This window comes from Homo sapiens, chromosome X, assembly GCF_000001405.40.
Source record: "Homo sapiens chromosome X, GRCh38.p14 Primary Assembly".
Classification (NCBI taxonomy): domain Eukaryota; kingdom Metazoa; phylum Chordata; class Mammalia; order Primates; family Hominidae; genus Homo; species Homo sapiens.
Genome location: NC_000023.11, coordinates 32,595,492 through 32,614,469, shown reverse-complemented (window position 1 = coordinate 32,614,469; position 18,978 = coordinate 32,595,492). Strand labels below are relative to the sequence as shown.

The following is an 18,978-nucleotide window of genomic DNA, read 5'->3' as shown; positions in this document are numbered from 1 at the left end:
TCTTTCAAATTTTCAGTTTACATAGAGTTTTAATGGATCTCCAGAATCAGAAACTGAAAGAGTTGAATGACTGGCTAACAAAAACAGAAGAAAGAACAAGGAAAATGGAGGAAGAGCCTCTTGGACCTGATCTTGAAGACCTAAAACGCCAAGTACAACAACATAAGGTAGGTGTATCTTATGTTGCGTGCTTTCTACTAGAAAGCAAACTCTGTGTATAGTACCTATACACAGTAACACAGATGACATGGTTGATGGGAGAGAATTAAAACTTAAAGTCAGCCATATTTTAAAAATTATTTTTACCTAATTGTTTTTGCAATCTTTGTTGCAATGGCTTGAATAAGTCCCCTCCAAAATTCAGGTGATTGTATTAGGAGATGGAATATTTAAGGGTGAATAATCCATCAGGGCTCCTCCCTTAAGAATAGGATCAAGTCCCATATAAAAGAGGCTTCACACAGTGTTCTCCTATCTCTTGACCCTCCACCATGCACCACCATGTGAAAACTCTGTGAAAAGGCCCTCACCAGATGCTAACATCTTGATCTTGGATTTCCCAAACTCGAGAACTGTGAAAAAATAAAGGTACATTCTTCCTAAATTACCTCATTCTCAGTTATTTTTGTTACAGCAGCACAAAATGGATTAAGACATTTGTTGTTGTTTTTTTAAAAAATACAGCATAGCTAGGCTTTTCGTATTTGGAAAAGAAATCAAACATATTTGTGGATGAGAACAACGCAGGGTATGTGATTTATTAAAAATTTGCTTTCCTGGAAGACAGACTTCATAGGGATTACTTGTAATGCAAATTTAAATAATAAGGCTACGATTTTTTTTAATGTAATTTTACATTCAATTTATAGTAAATTGAAGCTGGCCAAGCTTGATGATAAATGAGAGTCTGAAGCATTGCTTTTCTATAGAATATGACATTTTTTAAATGTTAATATTTCCATCTTTTTTCTTCAGTTTACTTGTACATTTCCAGTTATGCTCCCTCGCTGCCAGAAAGCATTTTTTTTTGTTTCTGTTATTGAGACTTCTACAATAATATTTCTTATCCAAAATTATGAGGGTGCTTTATTTTAATAAGTGCCATAAAATATTACAATTAGCTCTGAGTTTTATTGTTGAAATAGGCTCCTGCTCAATTCATGAGGAAACACACACACACACAAGATCCTTTGTAATTGTCCCAGGATTAGGGTTGCCACATTTAGCAGACACAAATAAAAGAAGCCTACTTAAATGTAAATTTCAGATAAACAACAAATAATTTTCTTAGTGTGTGTCCCAAATTGTTCATTGTTTATCTGAAATTCACATTTTGCTGAGTGTCTTTTATTTTATCTGGCAACTCTACTTATGATCTGTGGTTTTTGGATTTATGGCTTTGAATAGGAATATCTGCTCCTTTACCTCATACCTTCGAAATCTGCCTTTTGTCAAACTTAATTCTCTCTTTTTATAATATTCAGTCATATATAGCTTTACAGTTCTTCCATGCAAATGAAAGATACATTTATTTCTAAGTTCTAGAGTTTTTTTTAAGTTTAATGAGCTTCAGTTTTGAATGACAAATGGGGCCAGCCCTTACTATTATTGACCCCCAGGAGTCCTCTAAGATCTAGCATTTAAGAAGAACTGTAACTATGGTAATCCCCGTCTGCTATGCCATCAGGAAAAAAACATCAACTGTATTGCAATTATGTAGAAATTGTAACTGTGATTACTTGTCATATAGATACTAATTGAGCACCTGAAGAAGAAGTTAGGTACAGTGCTAGTTCTCTAACCGTACCGCTTTTCCGATGTGGCACATTTGCTTCTCTCGTTGACACTATATCTGCCCTCTTTCCCTTGGCCTACACTGGAAGTTACATGCAGAAAGTGTCTATATAAACCAGGGGTGTCCAACCCGTTGGCTTCCCTGGGCGACATTGGAAGAATTGTCTTGGGCCACACATAAAATATACTAACACTAATGATAGCTGGTGAACTAAAAGAAATAATTGAAAAAATATTTTAAGAAAGTTTACAAATTTGTGTTGGGCCACATTGAAAGCCATCCTGGGTCATGGATTGGACAAGGTTGATGTACAGCAATGGCTTCTCTCTACCGGAGGGTATTTCTGGTGCAGAACCATTTCAGCCAGTTTGAAGGTGGACAGGAAGTGGAATTAGTGCCACCAGAGCTGCCCTTAGCCAATGAGGAGTAAAAGTTGATAGAGAAATCCTGTAGAATCTTTGTCCCATAGTGGGACATTTCTAAGGTATATTCTCCACAGTCTTTCAGAGATTCCCCAGTAAGACTGAGCTCCAGGTATCCACAGGGTAACTTCCTGAACGTCCCCGTGCTCTCATAATGCCTTACGAGTTCACCCTCCAAATAAACCATTTATTTGTTCACAAATCTTTTGTTCAGGATGTGTTTTTGGAGGAATCTAACCCAAGACAAACTTCTCCCACTAGAAGCCAGAATTCGAGCTCCAGTTCTACCACTAACTAAATTGTCATTTTCCAAACATCACTTAATGTCCCAGGTTCTCTGTATCTTTACTTTGGAAATAAAAGAGTGAGTTTGTTTCTAGTGTTCCTTCCAGTCACAGTTTAAATGTGTCCAATACTTTTGGAAGTTGAAGTATTTTAGAAAAGGCCAAGATTAGGCCACGTAACACTGAACATCAGAAGGCAGGACACTGCTGCTGGATGCCTGGAGTGTAAAGCGAAATCCAGGGAGAAGAGCTCCAAAAGAGCAGTAGAAGAAGAATGTTAGCATAGCTAAGTACGGATAACCTAGGGCAGCTATGAAGGAAGTTCTTAGCTTGGGACGCTGAACAGACTCTTCATTAAGGTGAGACAAGCTATCCAGGATCTTAATATTCTGCCAGGTACCTGAAATGTTTTGTAGTTTTTTCTGAAAGATATAATGTGAATGAAATGGAAAACGTTTGACAAATATTGTCATAAAATTTAAATATATTATTCATTACTTGAAAGTATGCCATTTCTAATGACTATGAAATTGCCTTGAAGAAAAAATGTGAAACAAAAGAAGGCAACAGGAGTATATGCAAGTTGATTATGTAACATTTTACCTCCAGGCATTATTTATTTATTTAAAGGGCATAAAGAGGCCAGAAGGCATTGGTTTTCTGGCTCAGAGAGTAAGGCCAACTCCTACTTTTAACTATTTGAGCACTCTTTTTTTTGACAGATTTGACAATATTTTTTGAAATATTTGACAGATTTTTTTTTTATAAAAATTAAGGGAAAGATTCATATTCAAGTCCTGAATATTGATAATGCTCTTTTGTTTCTTGGCAACAATTTTGGCGAGAAGAAGGTGACTTAACATCAAACAATTTAGCAAAGAGTTGACTTTATTTAAACCTGAAACATGTACATTATATTGTCTTTTAAGACTAAAAGGAGCATACATACAGAATTAAAGGAACACTGTTTTGTTAGTCTTGCCACACTTCATAAAACAAAAGAAAATAAATGTTACTTCTTTGGGTAACTGAGTTCAAACTAAAGCCTTATTTATATAGTCGTTGAATCGCTTTGCAGCTTTTTTTCCCAAGAATTGTAAATCATTGAAAGTAAGGAAATTTCTCCTTCTGACAACAAAATGCATCAGTAACCTTAGAGTCCCCACAAAAGCAACTCCCATCTGCTGCATCACCAAACTTCTAACCTAATATAATATTTATTTTTAGCTTTGTGTAGATAGACATTAAATCCTTGTGCCATCACCATTTTTTCTTAAAGATGATTGCAGATGACAAAATTAAAGAAAAGATACAGATTTTATTGCTGGGAATTGATTTAAATTCTGCTCAGATCAGAGGTCGCCTGCTCTCTCTCTCTCAACTGGAGGGCAAGATTAAAATGTTTGCAAATCTTGCAAGTACACTGTGAATATTACAGATATGCTTCTGTATATTCTGTGACAGGATCCTTTGCTATCTTCATTTCAACAGCATTTTATTATGAGGCAGGCTAGAAATTCAGACACTGTGAAATGTCAGGAAGATAAGTCACTTTTACTGAACCTGGCAATTAGGTAAGGTAAAGCAATTGATCCTATATGGTGGTTACTATTAAATCTAGCCAAACTCTTTACTCTGGGTAACCAAGAAAAGTTCAATTGGCTGCACCATTTGGGAGAAACCACTCATCCTTCATAGACATTGCTGTAGGGAGAGAATTTAGAGGTTTGCTTTAGCTTTGAGGCACCCAAGAGTGAGTCTTTCTGGGGAGTAAACAAATCGAACCTCTCATTCCCCTGTGAAAAAATATATCACATATAATTCTAGCTGGTCTTTTTTGTCTTAAGGGGTAGAATTTATTAGTGATGTTGACAAAGAATGAAAGGATTTCCCTCGAAGGAGTGGCATGATGCTATTGAGGAGGAAAAGCCTTGAGCTTTCATTAATAGTAAAGAAGTTTGCCATTTTGGAGGCATTTTTTTCAAAAGGAAAATATTTAACAGTGAAATCTTTTGTCTCCTGGCACAGTGAGACTGCGATGAAGTTTAAAGCTGAGTTTACTAGCTAGGTTTTCCATTCTTTTGAGAGATTTAGACTTTTGTGCATAGATGCATAACCTTGGTGACAGCATCAACAAAGACTTTACAAATTACAAGAATTTGCCGATGTGAATATATACTCTATATTCTGACTTCAGTGAAGGTTATATGTGAAATACTGATTAATACAAACTAAGTAGCCTCTTAGAAACTCAGTCACCTATCCTTTTCTTGAAGGTTAGTTAAAGGCAGACATTTGGGTTGCCAAGATTGTGAAATATCCTCATCTGGTGACCTTTAAAATGATCTAGATGTTCATGTTACAGAGAAGGATTAGGTATAATTCTGCCAAAGGATCTGACATTTCATTTCATTCCATTGCATTCTATTCCATATCACTGAACAAACCCTCATTATAGCACATGGGTGCTGTGAAGAATGCAGAAACCAATCATTTACGATGTCTTGTACTATACTGAATGCTGGAGGATTTAAGCCTGATCATGGAGGGTGATCATGAGTCTTATATAAAAGACTCAGGCATTTGCAGTAGTAGTTCTATGAGTAACAGGAAACCATTATTCATGAGAAATTAAACTAGAAATAGCAGCAATTTAGGAAAACTTATCTTAATATTTAAGAAGATATTTTTTGAGGATAAATAAAAGAGCAGAGAAACAGGAGGCCGGAAAACATGTTAAGAGGATATTGCTGAAAGTATATAGAGCCTGAATGAAAGCAATGACAACAAAAATTGTAAACAGGTACAAAGCATTCTGGATATCAAATCAAAACCAATAGGACTAGATTTAGGATATGAACAAAAAGCTCAAAGTAATAGATTCTGGGACTGGGCAATTGGGACTTGAGATTGGTAATTAAGAAAATAGGCAGTGAAAAAGAGAAATGCAATAGTTGGAAGAAGGATAAGTGATTCAGTTAAGTTTGACAGTGCCATAGGATCAAGTGGTGCTTTTAGTGGTTAGCAAACTCACTCTCATATTTAGCAAGGTTAAAATTACATGTTGTTTGTTTCTGCTATGAAGTTTCATTTTATTTCCTGTCTTTTGCCCTCATAAGTGCTTAATGAAAGTTTAATGGTTATGATGGTAAGGGGGATAAACACTATAATCTGAAAAAATACTGTATTATAACCAGAGAGCCAGATTTCTTTTGTGTTTTCAGAGTGCTTAGTCAATAATTGATGCTCAGTAAATGTTTTTAGAACACATGTTCTGATTATATTGACTAGTTTTATTATCCAAATCGTCTCCATCATGGCTAACTTTCTGACAAGGGCATGAAAGTTTGATAATTTCAATTAAAACGTTGGGCATACAGCAAAAAAAAATTCATAAAGCTGTAGAAAAATACATCTGTAAAGTGGCTTACCTGGTGATGTTATCTCTGGTGTCTTCAATCTCTGACTTTCCTTTTTTCCTTCTATCTCTGTTGCATTCCCATATGCAAATATCTTAATAGTGCTAAACCATTGACTATGAAATTGGTTTGAGTGGTAGTATTATTTTGACATAAATGATTGGAAGTTTATGTAAAAAAGAACATCACACTTTTATAGTCTACGTAGTAGTATGTGCATGATATTCAGTTACAATTTTTAAAATCGAATTGAGAAGACATCTAATATCCCATAAGAATTCTATTAACAAGCATCATATTCCAAGGGTATATTTGCACAGTAATGCTATAGATTATTAAAATAATAATAATATAAAATCCATGCCCATATTCTTATTTTACAAATCAAGTATTTCTAGCTATCAGATTATTATTTACTTTATTAGAAATTACTGAGTATTGATTCAGTAACATTACTTAGAATGTCACAGCTTTGTTTGACAGTATATCGGTATAGCTACGAAAATTATACCTGATCAAGACTCTGTCATCTTAGAGGCACTAACATTAGTTATTATACTTCATTACTCTTGTAATACTTCCTCATGAGAAGACACTGACCTCTCCAATGGTGTTTAAAGGAAAAAAATAAGTACCCTATTTCTAATTTACTGAGTTAGTCTCATGTAAAATGTCTCTCTCTCTCTGAACCAGTACTGTAACAATCAATTTCAGTTCTTTCGTATAGGTAATACAAAATTAATAATGTAGATAAACTAATTATAAAAAACATTTTAAAATGCATTTTAGGGAAACCTTACAAGAAAGCTAAGACACACATGATAACATGAATTTTAAGGCAATAATTTTCCTTATCAAATGTATGACCGTATCTTATAACAAAATGCATGTCCGTAAATCCAATCCCGTGTTAAAATATAAGGTTGAATATGATACTTTTTCTGAAGAATATGGAGAACTATCCTGTTTAATATTTCTGTTATGAACAGAATTTCTAGTGGATTTCTAATACTAGTAGATTTCTACTGGTACATCTGGTAGTACTCTCTTATTCATTGGAAGTAATGATACTGTATCCTTTAACAATTAAATTTTTATCTAAGTCATATCTAGTAAGACTAAAAAAGCACTAAACTATTTTTACATAATGGTCTACAGTTTTGGCACACTGAGGATATTTAATAATGGAAATATAATGTGATTACCAAGTTATTAGAAATAAATAGTGATGCTCAAAAGGGCTATTTCCATGAATCTCAGTGTAAGAATGCAAGGATAATGTGAATACGTCAGAAATGAAAGAAAATAAGCATTTCCTCACCACCTACCAAATCTAAGCACTGTACAAGCTGAAGTTAATGTATTGTCTCATTTAACTCTAGTAATAAGCATGTCTTAGAAGAAGTTTTAAAATAGATTGAGGGGGTGCATGTGCAGGTTTGTTACATGGATATATCGTGTAGTGGTGGAGTCTGGGATTTTAGTATATCCATAATCTGAATAGCGAACACTATACTCAATAGGTAATTTTTCACCCCTCACCCCCCTACCAGCCTATAATCTTTTGTAGTTTCCAGTTTATATTATTCCACTCTAGATGTCCGTGTGTACCCTTTGTTTAGTTTCTTCTTATAAGCGAGAACATGTTGCATTTAGGTTTCTGTTTCCAAGTTACTTCACTTAGGATAATGGCCTATAGTTCCTATTCATGTAACTGCAAAAGACAGGATTTCATACTTTCTTAGGCTGTGTAGTGTTCTGTGGTGTGTGTGTATATATGTGTGTATATATATGTATGTGTGTGTGTATATATATATATATATATATGCGTATATACACACATATATACATGTGCATATCACATTTTCTTTATCCAATCATTTACTGATGGACGCTTAGGTTGATTCTTTGCTATTGTAAATAGTGCTATGATAAACATACAACTGCAGGTAGCTTTTTCATGTAACACTTTTTGTTGTTTTTGTTGAGTATATACCCAGTACTAGGATTGCAGGATCCAATAGTTGTGTTTTAAGTTCTTTGAGAAATCTCCATACTGTTTTACATAATGTTTATATTAACTTACATTCCCACCAAGAGTGAATAAACATTTTCTTTTCTCCACATCCTTGCCAACACCTGTTGTTGTTTGACTTTTTTAATGACAGGTATCCCCTTAAAAAAATGAGATACTGTCATTTGGAACAATGTGGATGGAACTAGAGATCGTTATGTTAAGTGAAATAAGCCAGGCACAGAAAGACAAACATCTCTTATGTTCTGACTTATTTGTGGGATCTAAAAATTAAAACAATTGAAGTCATGGAAATAGAGAGTAGAAGGATGGTTATCAGAGACTGGGAAGGGTGGTGGAAGGGAGGTGGGGATGGTTATTGGGTACAAAAATTACAGTTAGAAAGAATGAAAAGACATAATATTTGATCATATCATACAGTAACTATGGTCAATAATAACTTGTACATTTTACAATAACTGTGAAAGCATATAATTAGGTTGCTTGTAAGACAAAGGACAAATGCTTAAGGTGATAGATACTAAATTCTCCATGATGTGATTATTTCACTTTGCATGCCTGTATCAAAACATCTCATGTACCCCACAAATACACCTACTCTGTACCCACAAATTTTTAAATGACATTGAAAAAAACAAATAATAGCCATACTGATTGGTGTGAGATCATATCTCCTTGTGGTTTTAATTTGCATTTCTCTGATGATTAGTGATGTTGAGCATTTTCTCATATGTTTGTTGGCCACTTGTATATCTTCTTTTAAAAAATGTCTGCTAATGTCCTTTGCCTACTTTTTAATGGGGTTATCTATTTTTCTTCTTGTTGAGTTACTTTTAGATTCTAGATATTAGTTTTTTGTTAGATGTATAGTTCGGAATTGTTTTCCATTCTATAAGTTGTCTGTTCATTCTGTTGATTGTTTTTTGTTTTTTTGTTTGTTTGTTTTTGCTGTTCAGAAGATTTTAAAATTAAGTTCCATTTGTCTACTTTTGTTTTTGAGTACTTAGTCATAAATTCTTTGCCCAAGCCAGTGTCGAGAAGAGTTTTTCCTAGGTTTTCTTTTAGGATTTTTATATTTTCAGGTCTTACATTTAAGTCTTTAATACATTTTGAGTTAATTTTTGTATATGGTGATTTATGACCCAGTTTCATTCTTCTGCTTATGACTATCCAATATTTACAGCACAATTTACTGAATAGGATGTCCTTTCCCCAGTGTATATATACATTTTTTTACTTTGTTAAAGATGTGTTGGTCATAGATATGTGGTTTTATATCTGGGTTCTTAATTTGGTTAAATCAATCTATATGTATCTGTTTTTATACCAGTACCATACTGTTTTGGTTACTGTAGCCTTTTAGTATAATTTGAAGTCAGGTAATGTGATGCCTTCAACTTTATTCTTCTTGCTTAGCATTGCTTTGACTATTTGGGCTCTTTTTTGATTCTCTATGTATTTTACTATCTTTTTCTAATTCTGTGAAAAATGATGTTGGTAATTTATAAGGACTGTGTTCAATCTGTAAATTGCTTTGAGCAGTGTGGTTATTTTAACAATATTGATGCTCCCAATCCATGAGCAGGGAAAGTTTTTCCATTTGTTTGTGTCATCTATGATTTATTTCATGGGTGTTTTGTAGTTCTCCTTGTAGACACCTTTCACTTTTTTGTTTAAAGGCATTCCTAGGTATTTTTTTTTTTTGTAGTTGTTGTAAATGAGATTGAGTTCTTGATTTGGTTCTCAGCTTGATCATTATTGGTGTATAGAAATGCTACCAATTTTGTACATTGATTTCATATCCTGAAACTTTACTGAAGTCATTTATCAAATATAGGGTCCTTTTGGAGGAGTCTTAAGGGTTTTCTAGATGTAAAATCCTATCATCAGTGAAGAGAAATCATTTGACTTTCTTTTTCCCAATTTGGATGCCTTTTATTTCTTTCTCTTGCCTGATTGCTCTAGCTAGGACTTCCAGTACTATGTTGAATTGGAGCAGTGAAAATGGGTATCCTTGTCTTGTTGTAGTTCTTGGGGGAGGGGGGTGCTCTCAACATGTTCCTGTTTAGTATGATGTTGGCTCTTGGTTTGTCATATATGACTTTTGTTATTTTGAGATATGTTCTTTCAATGCCTAGTTGTTGAGGGTCTTTATCTTGGGGAGAGGCTGGATTTTATCAAATGCCTTTTCTGCATCTATTGAGATGATCATATGTTTTTTGTTTTTAATTCTTTTTATGTGGTGAATCACATATATTGCTCTGCATATATTGCACCACACAAAACATATATTGTGTTATGTGGTGAATCACAGATATTGCTCTGCATATATCCCTGCCTACCTGGCATAAAGCTCACGTTATTGTCATGTATTATCTTTTTGTTATGCTTTTGGGTTTGGTTTGCTAGCATTCTGTTGAGGATTTTTGCATCTATGTTCATCAGGGATATTGGCCTGTGGTTTCCTTTTTGTTGTGTCCTTACCTGCCTTTGGTATCATGGTGATACTGGCTTCGTAGAATTAATTAGGGAGAATTTCCTCTTGTTTGATATTTTGCAACAGTTACAATAGGATTGGTACCAGTTCTTTGCATGTCTGGTAGAATTCGGCTGTGAATACGTCTGGTCCTGAGCTTTATTTTATTGGGAGATATTTATTACTGATTCAGTTTCACTATTTGTTATTGGTCTGTCCAAGATTTTTGCTTCTTGTGGTTCAATTTTGGGAGTTGATATGTATCCAGGAATTTATTCATTTCCTCCAGATTTTCTAATTTGTGTACCTAGAGATGCCCATAGTAGTCTGATAATCTTTCGTATTTCTATGGTATCAGTTGTAACGTCACATCTATCATCTCTGACTTTGCTTATTTGATTCTTCTGTTTTTTTCTTGGTTAATCTAGCTAGTGGCCTATTAATTTTGTTTATCTTTTCAAAGAAAACTCTCTAATTTTTTTAATTTTTTGTCTTTTATTATCTCAGTTTCATTTAGTTCTGCTCTGATCATTGTTATTTCTTATATTCTGCTAGCTTTGGTTTCGGTTTGTTCTTGGTTTTCTAGTTCATTGAAGTACAATATTAGTTTGCTAATTTTAGATCTTTCTATCTTTTTGGTGTAGGCAGTTAATGCTATAAATTTCCATCTTAGGACTGCTTTTGCTGTATCCCAGAGGTGGAGGTATGTTGTATGTCTCTTTTTATTTGTTTCAAAAAGTTTTAATTTCTTCCTTGATTTCATTGTCCAAAGATCATTCAGGAGCAGGTTGTTTAATTTCCATGTATTTGTATAGATTTAAGGAGTCTTCTTGGTACTCATTTCTAGTTTTTTTCCACTGTGGTGCAAGAAGATGCTTGATATGATTTTGATTTTTTTAAAAATGTGTTAAGAACCACCTTGTGGCCTAGCACATTTTCAATTTTTGATAATGATCCACGTGCAGATGAGAATAATGTACATTCTGTGGTGGTAGAATAGAATGTTCTGTAAGTGTCTGGCCTGGAAGGATATTAATACTTGATTTTACAGACAAATAGATGTGTTCAAAGAGTTTAAGGAGTTGTTCAAGGTAACTTCAGTATTAATTGGTAGATTCTGATTTTAACTTTGACCTGTCTGCCTTTGAGACCATTTCTCTCCATTTTGAGATTCCAGTGAAGCTTGACTCCACCTGAGATCCTAGAGACTAGAGCAGTTGCAGAGAAGTGACAAAGAGATTTGAAGATGTTGTGGCATTTGGATTCCCAGGATTGGGAATGTCTAGATAGAAGGTACAGAGACTGTGTGCATATGAGTCTTCAAACATAGAGTAAGCAGTAGTGGTAGCTACACATTAAATACTCAGAATCAAAATGCTTAATGAAATAATTCATCACCATTACTCCTGTAGTTCTTTAAAATAGAGGAAAAAGAGACTATAAGGGAAACAGGAATATAGGCTTATGATAAGAATGGCAATACCGTCTGAGCAGGAGGATAATCATTGGAACTGAATTTCACAACTATATTCTGTTAGCAGCACAATGCATAGCATTTCCTCTGTGCTCTGCCTGAAACTTTCCACCCCAACTCTCTCCCAATAATCTTCTTTTCTTTTTCAATAATTATTTTCAGTAAAGGCATTTTATAATTATTTATTCAATGTTATTGGTTTTTAATCTGATTTTAATTCTGTAACTATATGCAGAATGTATGGGTGGGTGCATGCATGGATTGTAGAAAGAGTAGGAAAGGCAAGAGAATTGAGGGCTACCATTTCGTGATTAGGGACTGTCCTCACTCCATGACATATGTCTGCCCATGCAAATTTTTCTGTGATAACCATCAGATGAGGTAGTTTGAACCTACTTTTATTAATGTAGTGTAAATAAATTGGAAGTTCAGGTATTATTTAAGGATTTAACACTTACTGTATATTTCTCCAGACCTTAAAACTTTGCTGTAACTTCACTTGTTTTCATGACTTTTCAAAAATCACATTCTCTTCCTGCACTTATGATGTCTATTAGAAAGGATGATAGTCAGAATGTATTAGATGAGGGTAAAATAGATTAGTATTAGGTTAGGTCATTGCAGTTTAGTTTCAAAACTTTGATATAAATATGGCTAAATATGAATTCTTTCAACTAATTAGATGCTAATATTTTTGGAATTTATATTGTTTTCCAGGCAAAATGCAAAACAGTTTTACCTTATTCAATCTTCTTAACCACATAAAGAAATAGGCAGTTTTATTATCTTAGTTTTACAAATTAGGAAGCTGAGGCTTGGTGTGGTTGATGACTTTCTCAAAGTCACGTGATTGGTTATTGATGCTTCCAGGAATTACACATAGAAAATCTGATTTCAGATGCTACACTTTTGACTACAGTTTTACTGTCTCCTCATAGTCATGCACAAGTTTTGGTCAATCTATTTCATCCTATGTCCTTTTCCATATGTAGGAGTACATTAATTGTCTACTTTATTTTTAAAACAGTTTCTTTTCGTATTTATTGAGTCCCCTTCAGGCTATTGAGAAGCATTTAGTGTGCTTGTATAGCCTTTCAAATCTCTCCATTGAAACAGTCTTTCAGAACCCCCATTTGGTAGCTTAGGAGTTGGCAGAAACATAAACATTCATTTCTAACAAAAAGATAAAATCAGTGTGTTCTGATATAAGAACTAATAAAGATATTCAATCACATTTAAGTAAGTGAATATCAAAAGCTTTTCTAGGGTAGCCTGTTGAGGAAGATTATTTAAAATATTCAGCAAATTTATAACAAAGTTATATACCGTAAATAGATCTTCATGGAAAGCTAGACAATACTGTGACCAGCCAGGCTTAGCAAAGTGAATATTTCACTGCAAATAAAATCGAAAGTCCTTTCCAGATCATATCATTCAGGCCAGCAAGGGATATAGAGCCTAGCCCAGTGTAGAGGTGGTAGAAGGAATGGGGCATAGAGGAAAAGAGTGAAAAAAATAAATTACCTACCACCCCATCATTTCCCAAGAAATCCTAACACTTTCTGATCTGTACTTGAAGTTTTTATTTGAAAAAAAGTCAATTCCTGTCCAGATGTCTTGAATTAACATGATCATTAGTATCTAGGGATTTTTTTGTTCATGAGACAGCTTTTTTAAGATACTTCTTTCCTGGATGTTAGACTCAACTCTATTCCTAGAACCTTCTGAATTCTTAATGTCCTTTGCAAATTTTATGTTTGCTACAATTTTTTTCTCGTTAGTCTTTCCTTATGTGTGCATTTATTGAGATAAACTACAAACTACTGAATATTTGTAATTAAACATCTAAATATATTAATTTTAAAGTCATTTTTGGAGACAATAGATTGCCTTCCAATTCATGATGAACAGCGTTCTGTGTTGTTTCTAGGGGTGTGTTTTGTGTGTGTGTGTGTGTGTGTGTGTGCGTGTGCGTGTTTGTGTGTGTGTGACCTGCAAGTACCGGCAATTAGCTGTTGGGTATTCAATGAAGTCGGAGGAGTAGTTAAAAAAAAAAAAAACTTTACATATAGGTAACAGCTGTTCTTTTCCTGTTCTTTCCATAGCTGAGTCTATGCTATGGCCAAAAGAAATAGACAAGTAAAACAAAAGCTTCTCCCATCGAATTTACAGGATACCCATCCTTGTTTTTGTTTTCTATTATACTGCCTTTCGATTAATTATTGCTCTTCACCTTTAAACATCAAATCAAAAATTTCCCTAGCCTTACATAATTCCATGTCTTTATTTCCTAAGTATTATTTTACATGTGTTCTAAGAAAGGGTAAAATAGCATAGATCTAGAATAAACACTGAAGTGGCTCTCCAGTGGTTTTTCTAAGCCACTTTTGAAAACCAACTTGACATGGACAAGAGCCAGAAGAATTCAGTATCACTGATGGCATTTAAAAGAAGTACAAGAAAAGTCAGGTTTAAATAATAAAATTGGGAACATGTACTAAGGGAGTAACAAATTTTGTTAAGCCCTTTAACTAGAGACTTATTTAGAAGAAATACAATTATTCACAGAGGTATAACAAAAACTGTTTGTCCAATCTAGGCATTCTTAATGTTACATCTCACTGTTGGCCTTTTCTCTTGTCATAAAGAAAAAAATACATTATTTGACATTTGACAACAAACATTGGTAACATTTGTATCTAATAATGGTAATGAAATTTAACTAGGAACATGATAGATGTTTGAAATCTGGTAAGTGTTACAAAAGCATTCCTTTAATAAAATAATGAAAATAAATGCATAATAAAGTACCTAGTATGTGTGTATATATGTGTATGTGTATGTACAATCTGGAAGCTTTTAATAAAGGAAAACATTTTAACAATATTATATTACAATATTTTAATTTGAAGGTATTATTTTCTGACAGACAAACATTTTTGTGTACTTCTCTAGGGATGCATCTATATTTGGAAACTATTTGGCTCATATTTCAGGCTTAATTAGCAAATCCAATATAAATCTCCGTTGTATAAATTCATCTATGACAAATTGAAATCCATAAGAAGTCAGTATTTAAAATTGTAATTAAATATAGCCTTACAACACTTTAGCATATTATTTTTTTTAAATACTCTTGAGAATTCATTTCTTTCCAACTGGAGAAACAGGCAGGCATTCTTTACCCCAATGATCAAGGCCTTTATTCATGGATTCCTAGTTTGGCAGAACAATTGAACTTTTTAACTCCAGCTTTTTATGTCTGGCGTTTCTGCTACTTGTAAGAATCAGTGTAAAAGTAAACCCTGAACGTTGCATAGTTCATAATCTGTATTTTGCTGATATTAAGGAGATTAGCTAATACAGTTATATTCACTAATATTTATTTCGCATTTGAAGTCTGAGAAAATAGGAGACGTGCTTACTGTTTTACCATAGCTTTTGTCTTACAGCTATTTAGTGTGCTCAAAAAAGTCAGTTTAACCTTTTTTAGTTTAATTCCTAATTAGCTGAGAAAGAAGAAATACAATTTTAAAAAGTCATAGAGGAGAAGAGATACTGGAAATAACATTAAATCAAATGTACCTTATGCAAATCTACTCCAGCACTCTGGACTCTTCAACGTTCTTAGTCACTGTAGAGAGCCTTTCCCCACTCCTTTATTTCCTTGTACTCACCGTAAGTCCAGAGGGTTCTTGTGTTAGATTTTAATGCTATCATCTCACAACTCTCTTTAGTGGTACTTTACGTTAGCACTTCTGCCAAGCATAAAATATAAACCCTTGATCAATATGGCAAGAATGCCATTTCCAATTATAAAACAAATAGATGAACGAAACAAAATCAGAACAACTAAGTAATGGAGAATATAGTACGTTTGATCACATAGACTTTAAAAGACTCAATAAGAGTTGGATTCATTCCATGGATCCAATGTTTTTCTTACACTTCTTAAGTAAAATATATTAAAATTGTGAAAAAGCAATTTACATGTAAAAATGAAAACTGGCATTATTTACTTGTAATTTTGTAATATATGTAATTATATATACTCATTGAAGGACAGAAAAGAATTGACTAAATTCAGAAAACCAACTTATGATACACTGGCCACCAAATTATCATTTTAATTATTATTTGAAACATTCCCGGCTGACACCTTCAAAATGTTCCCAGTCCTGTCTTATATAACTCAGAAAACACAGACTCAACATGACTGTCAAGGACAACTCTGAATTTTAATGTTTCCATTTTTGGCCTCATGGCAAAAAGAGTTTTATTAACCATTATAAGCTCTGGAATGTCAAAGGCATGATAGGCAGTATAGATTGCACACACAAAATAGATGCATAGTCATTTTATTCTAAATTGCTTCACTTGAAAATGTAGTATGAAAATCTAGAGAGACGAAGTAAAAAGAAGTGATTTTATAGTGTTCTAAAATGTTGAGGCTTCGAAAATAAGAAGCCTAGGATAAAAATGCTCATGCATTTGAGATTGTGATTCAGCCATCCTAATAAGTTCCCTTCCACCTGCCATAGAGTTTGAATACCTAAGAGCTAGACTGATAGGTGCTAAGCACTGTTGTTTTGCAAGTAGGGACAGCACGTTTGCCAGAAAGTAACGGGAAATGTCCCAAACTTGTTTCTCCACTCTTGTGTTATGTAACAAAATGTTCTAAGAAACAAAGTAGTTGCCTAGAAGTCTCAAATAGCTATTCAGAGAAATCCCAATAATAAATAGTGTAACAGGGTAAGGTCTTATGGGATCTGGAGCACCCAGGCAACATACCTTGGTTCTAGAGCAGCCTCCTTTGTTTACCCCTAATTTATTCCTGTGTTTACCCCTGTTCATCATTACAAAATAATTGTACATCATGTTTTTAAAAAGATTGGAAATACTGTTTTGTGACAGCCTCACTTAATAGGGGGAAATGATTTTTTCAGAGCCACATTTGTAAGTTAGAAAGGCAGTATTTGAATTATTCTGGTTTTATCCTAGGGTTCAGTTGAGACCAAGTGGTTATTTTCTGTTGAGGTTAGTGTAATTGTGATTACACCAAAAATCACTAATTCTTCCTATTATATTGTAATCTTTGTGCAATCAGGAAGGAACAAACTCATCTGTGCATGTTTTCCCCAAACCCCCACATGGTACCATTTATCTGACAAATGTTTATTGATCTTTATTTGCTTGTAATACATAGTGAGAAGGACAGAGGGCATCTCTGTTCTAGTGGACTGCCTATTATAGTAAGTAGAGACAAAAGGACTAAGCTGATACATAAGAAATTATTGAGTAGTGACAATACTATGATTAAAAAAATGACAGAAATGGTGAATTACTAGGGAGCAACATTGGATAGTTTGCTCATGAAAAGCTGCTCTAGGTAGGTGACACTTACATTGAGTCCTGAATGATAAAGAAATGATTTAAACATCTGGAAGAAAAGCAATCCTGGTAGAGGGAACAGCTTGACACATTTTTGGAAGAGAGACAAAGCAAGTCATTCTGAAACACTGTGAGGGCGAGAATGGTATACAATTAGACTGGTGAGGTAGTCAGGTGCTAGATCATATAAGAATTTCAGGTAGAGAAGTTAAATTTTCTTTCTTAGTATGATAGAAATCTATTGGTTTTTATAAATCGGACTGACATCTGATTTGTAGTTTGAGCGGAAGGGAAAAAACGAGTAAAGGAGCTAAAAAGTAGTGTATAGGCCAGGCACAGTGGCTCACGTTTGTAATCTCAGCACTTTGGGAGGCTGAGGTGGGTAGATTACCTGAGGTCAGGAGTTTGAGAGCAGCCTGGCCAACGTGGTGAAATCCCGTCTCAACTGAAAATACAAAAAATTAGCTGGGCGTGGTGGTGTGCACCTGTAATCTCAGCTACTCGGGAGGCTGAGGCAGGAGAATCCCTTGAACCCGGTAGGTGGAGTTTGCAGTGAGCCGAGATCATGCCATTGGCATTCCACCCTGGGTGACACAGTGAGAATCCGTCTCCAAAATAGAAAAAAAAAATAAAAAAAGTAGCACATAGGTAGGAGGGTAATCAAGAGAAGGTGTCAAGAATGAGGGAGTGGCCAATTAGGTTAGTAATCAACATGTCAAGTAAGACGCTATAACAAATGGTTATTGAATTTAGGAACATGAAAGTTGATGGTGTCCTTTACAAAAGATATTTCAATGGGTTAGTGGGCAAAGTGAATAGTAGGATAAATATGTAGGCACAGTAACTATAGGATACATTTGTTTTTTTTTTTTTCAGTGAAGAGGAACACATAATAGGACAGTAGGAGGACCGGTTTGTTGGATCAAGAGTTTGTTTTATTTTTATGGTAATGGAGAAGTTCAGTAGAGAAGAAGAGCCTGAAAATGCCAGAAGTGCTGATAGTTGTAGGAAAAAAGTCCTTGAAAGGGAGAAAGGGGGTGGGATGAGAAGGAGAACATCCTGCTGTACCTTTCTTAACATTTGTCTTCTCTAGATACTTTCCAGTTAAATTAACAATAGAACATATAAATTTTGCTGAGCGTCATAGCAGAAAATTGGCTTGGAATGGTTTTAGGTTAATAAAAAATGGGAGTACCTGAGATGTAGCAGAAATAAATTTCACCATTTGAGAGCAAATCATTTCAACACACATGTAAGAATATCATTTTAATTTCCTTTAAAACATTTTATCTTTCAGGTGCTTCAAGAAGATCTAGAACAAGAACAAGTCAGGGTCAATTCTCTCACTCACATGGTGGTGGTAGTTGATGAATCTAGTGGAGATCACGCAACTGCTGCTTTGGAAGAACAACTTAAGGTCAGATTATTTTGCTTAGTAAACTAAATATGTCCTTTAAAAGAACTATAACTTGAAAAGTATTTTAAAAATTTAGAATGCAATTTATATATTAAAATACTTAGAATACAATATGTGTACAATATACACACACTCATAATCAGCTGAAGTGCTGTGATTTAAAGAATTCCATAATTCTGATACAATAGTAACTAACTGCGGATGGGTAAAATCTAATACTTTACCAGAAAATTTCAATTAATATTAAATAAGGCTGGGAAGCAGG

At 34.1% G+C, this 18,978-nt stretch overlaps 1 protein-coding gene across 17 annotated transcripts in view; it reads left to right on the top strand.

The window, feature by feature from the left end:
- DMD (dystrophin) overlaps positions 1-18,978 on the top strand; it is a 2,220,167-nt gene that overhangs the window by 724,919 nt on the left and 1,476,270 nt on the right. For all 17 annotated transcript variants that reach the window (XM_006724469.4, NM_000109.4, XM_011545467.2 and 14 more), the window contains 2 exon segments: positions 17-167; positions 18,594-18,713. In XM_006724469.4, coding sequence (XP_006724532.1) covers positions 17-167; positions 18,594-18,713 — 271 coding nt within the window.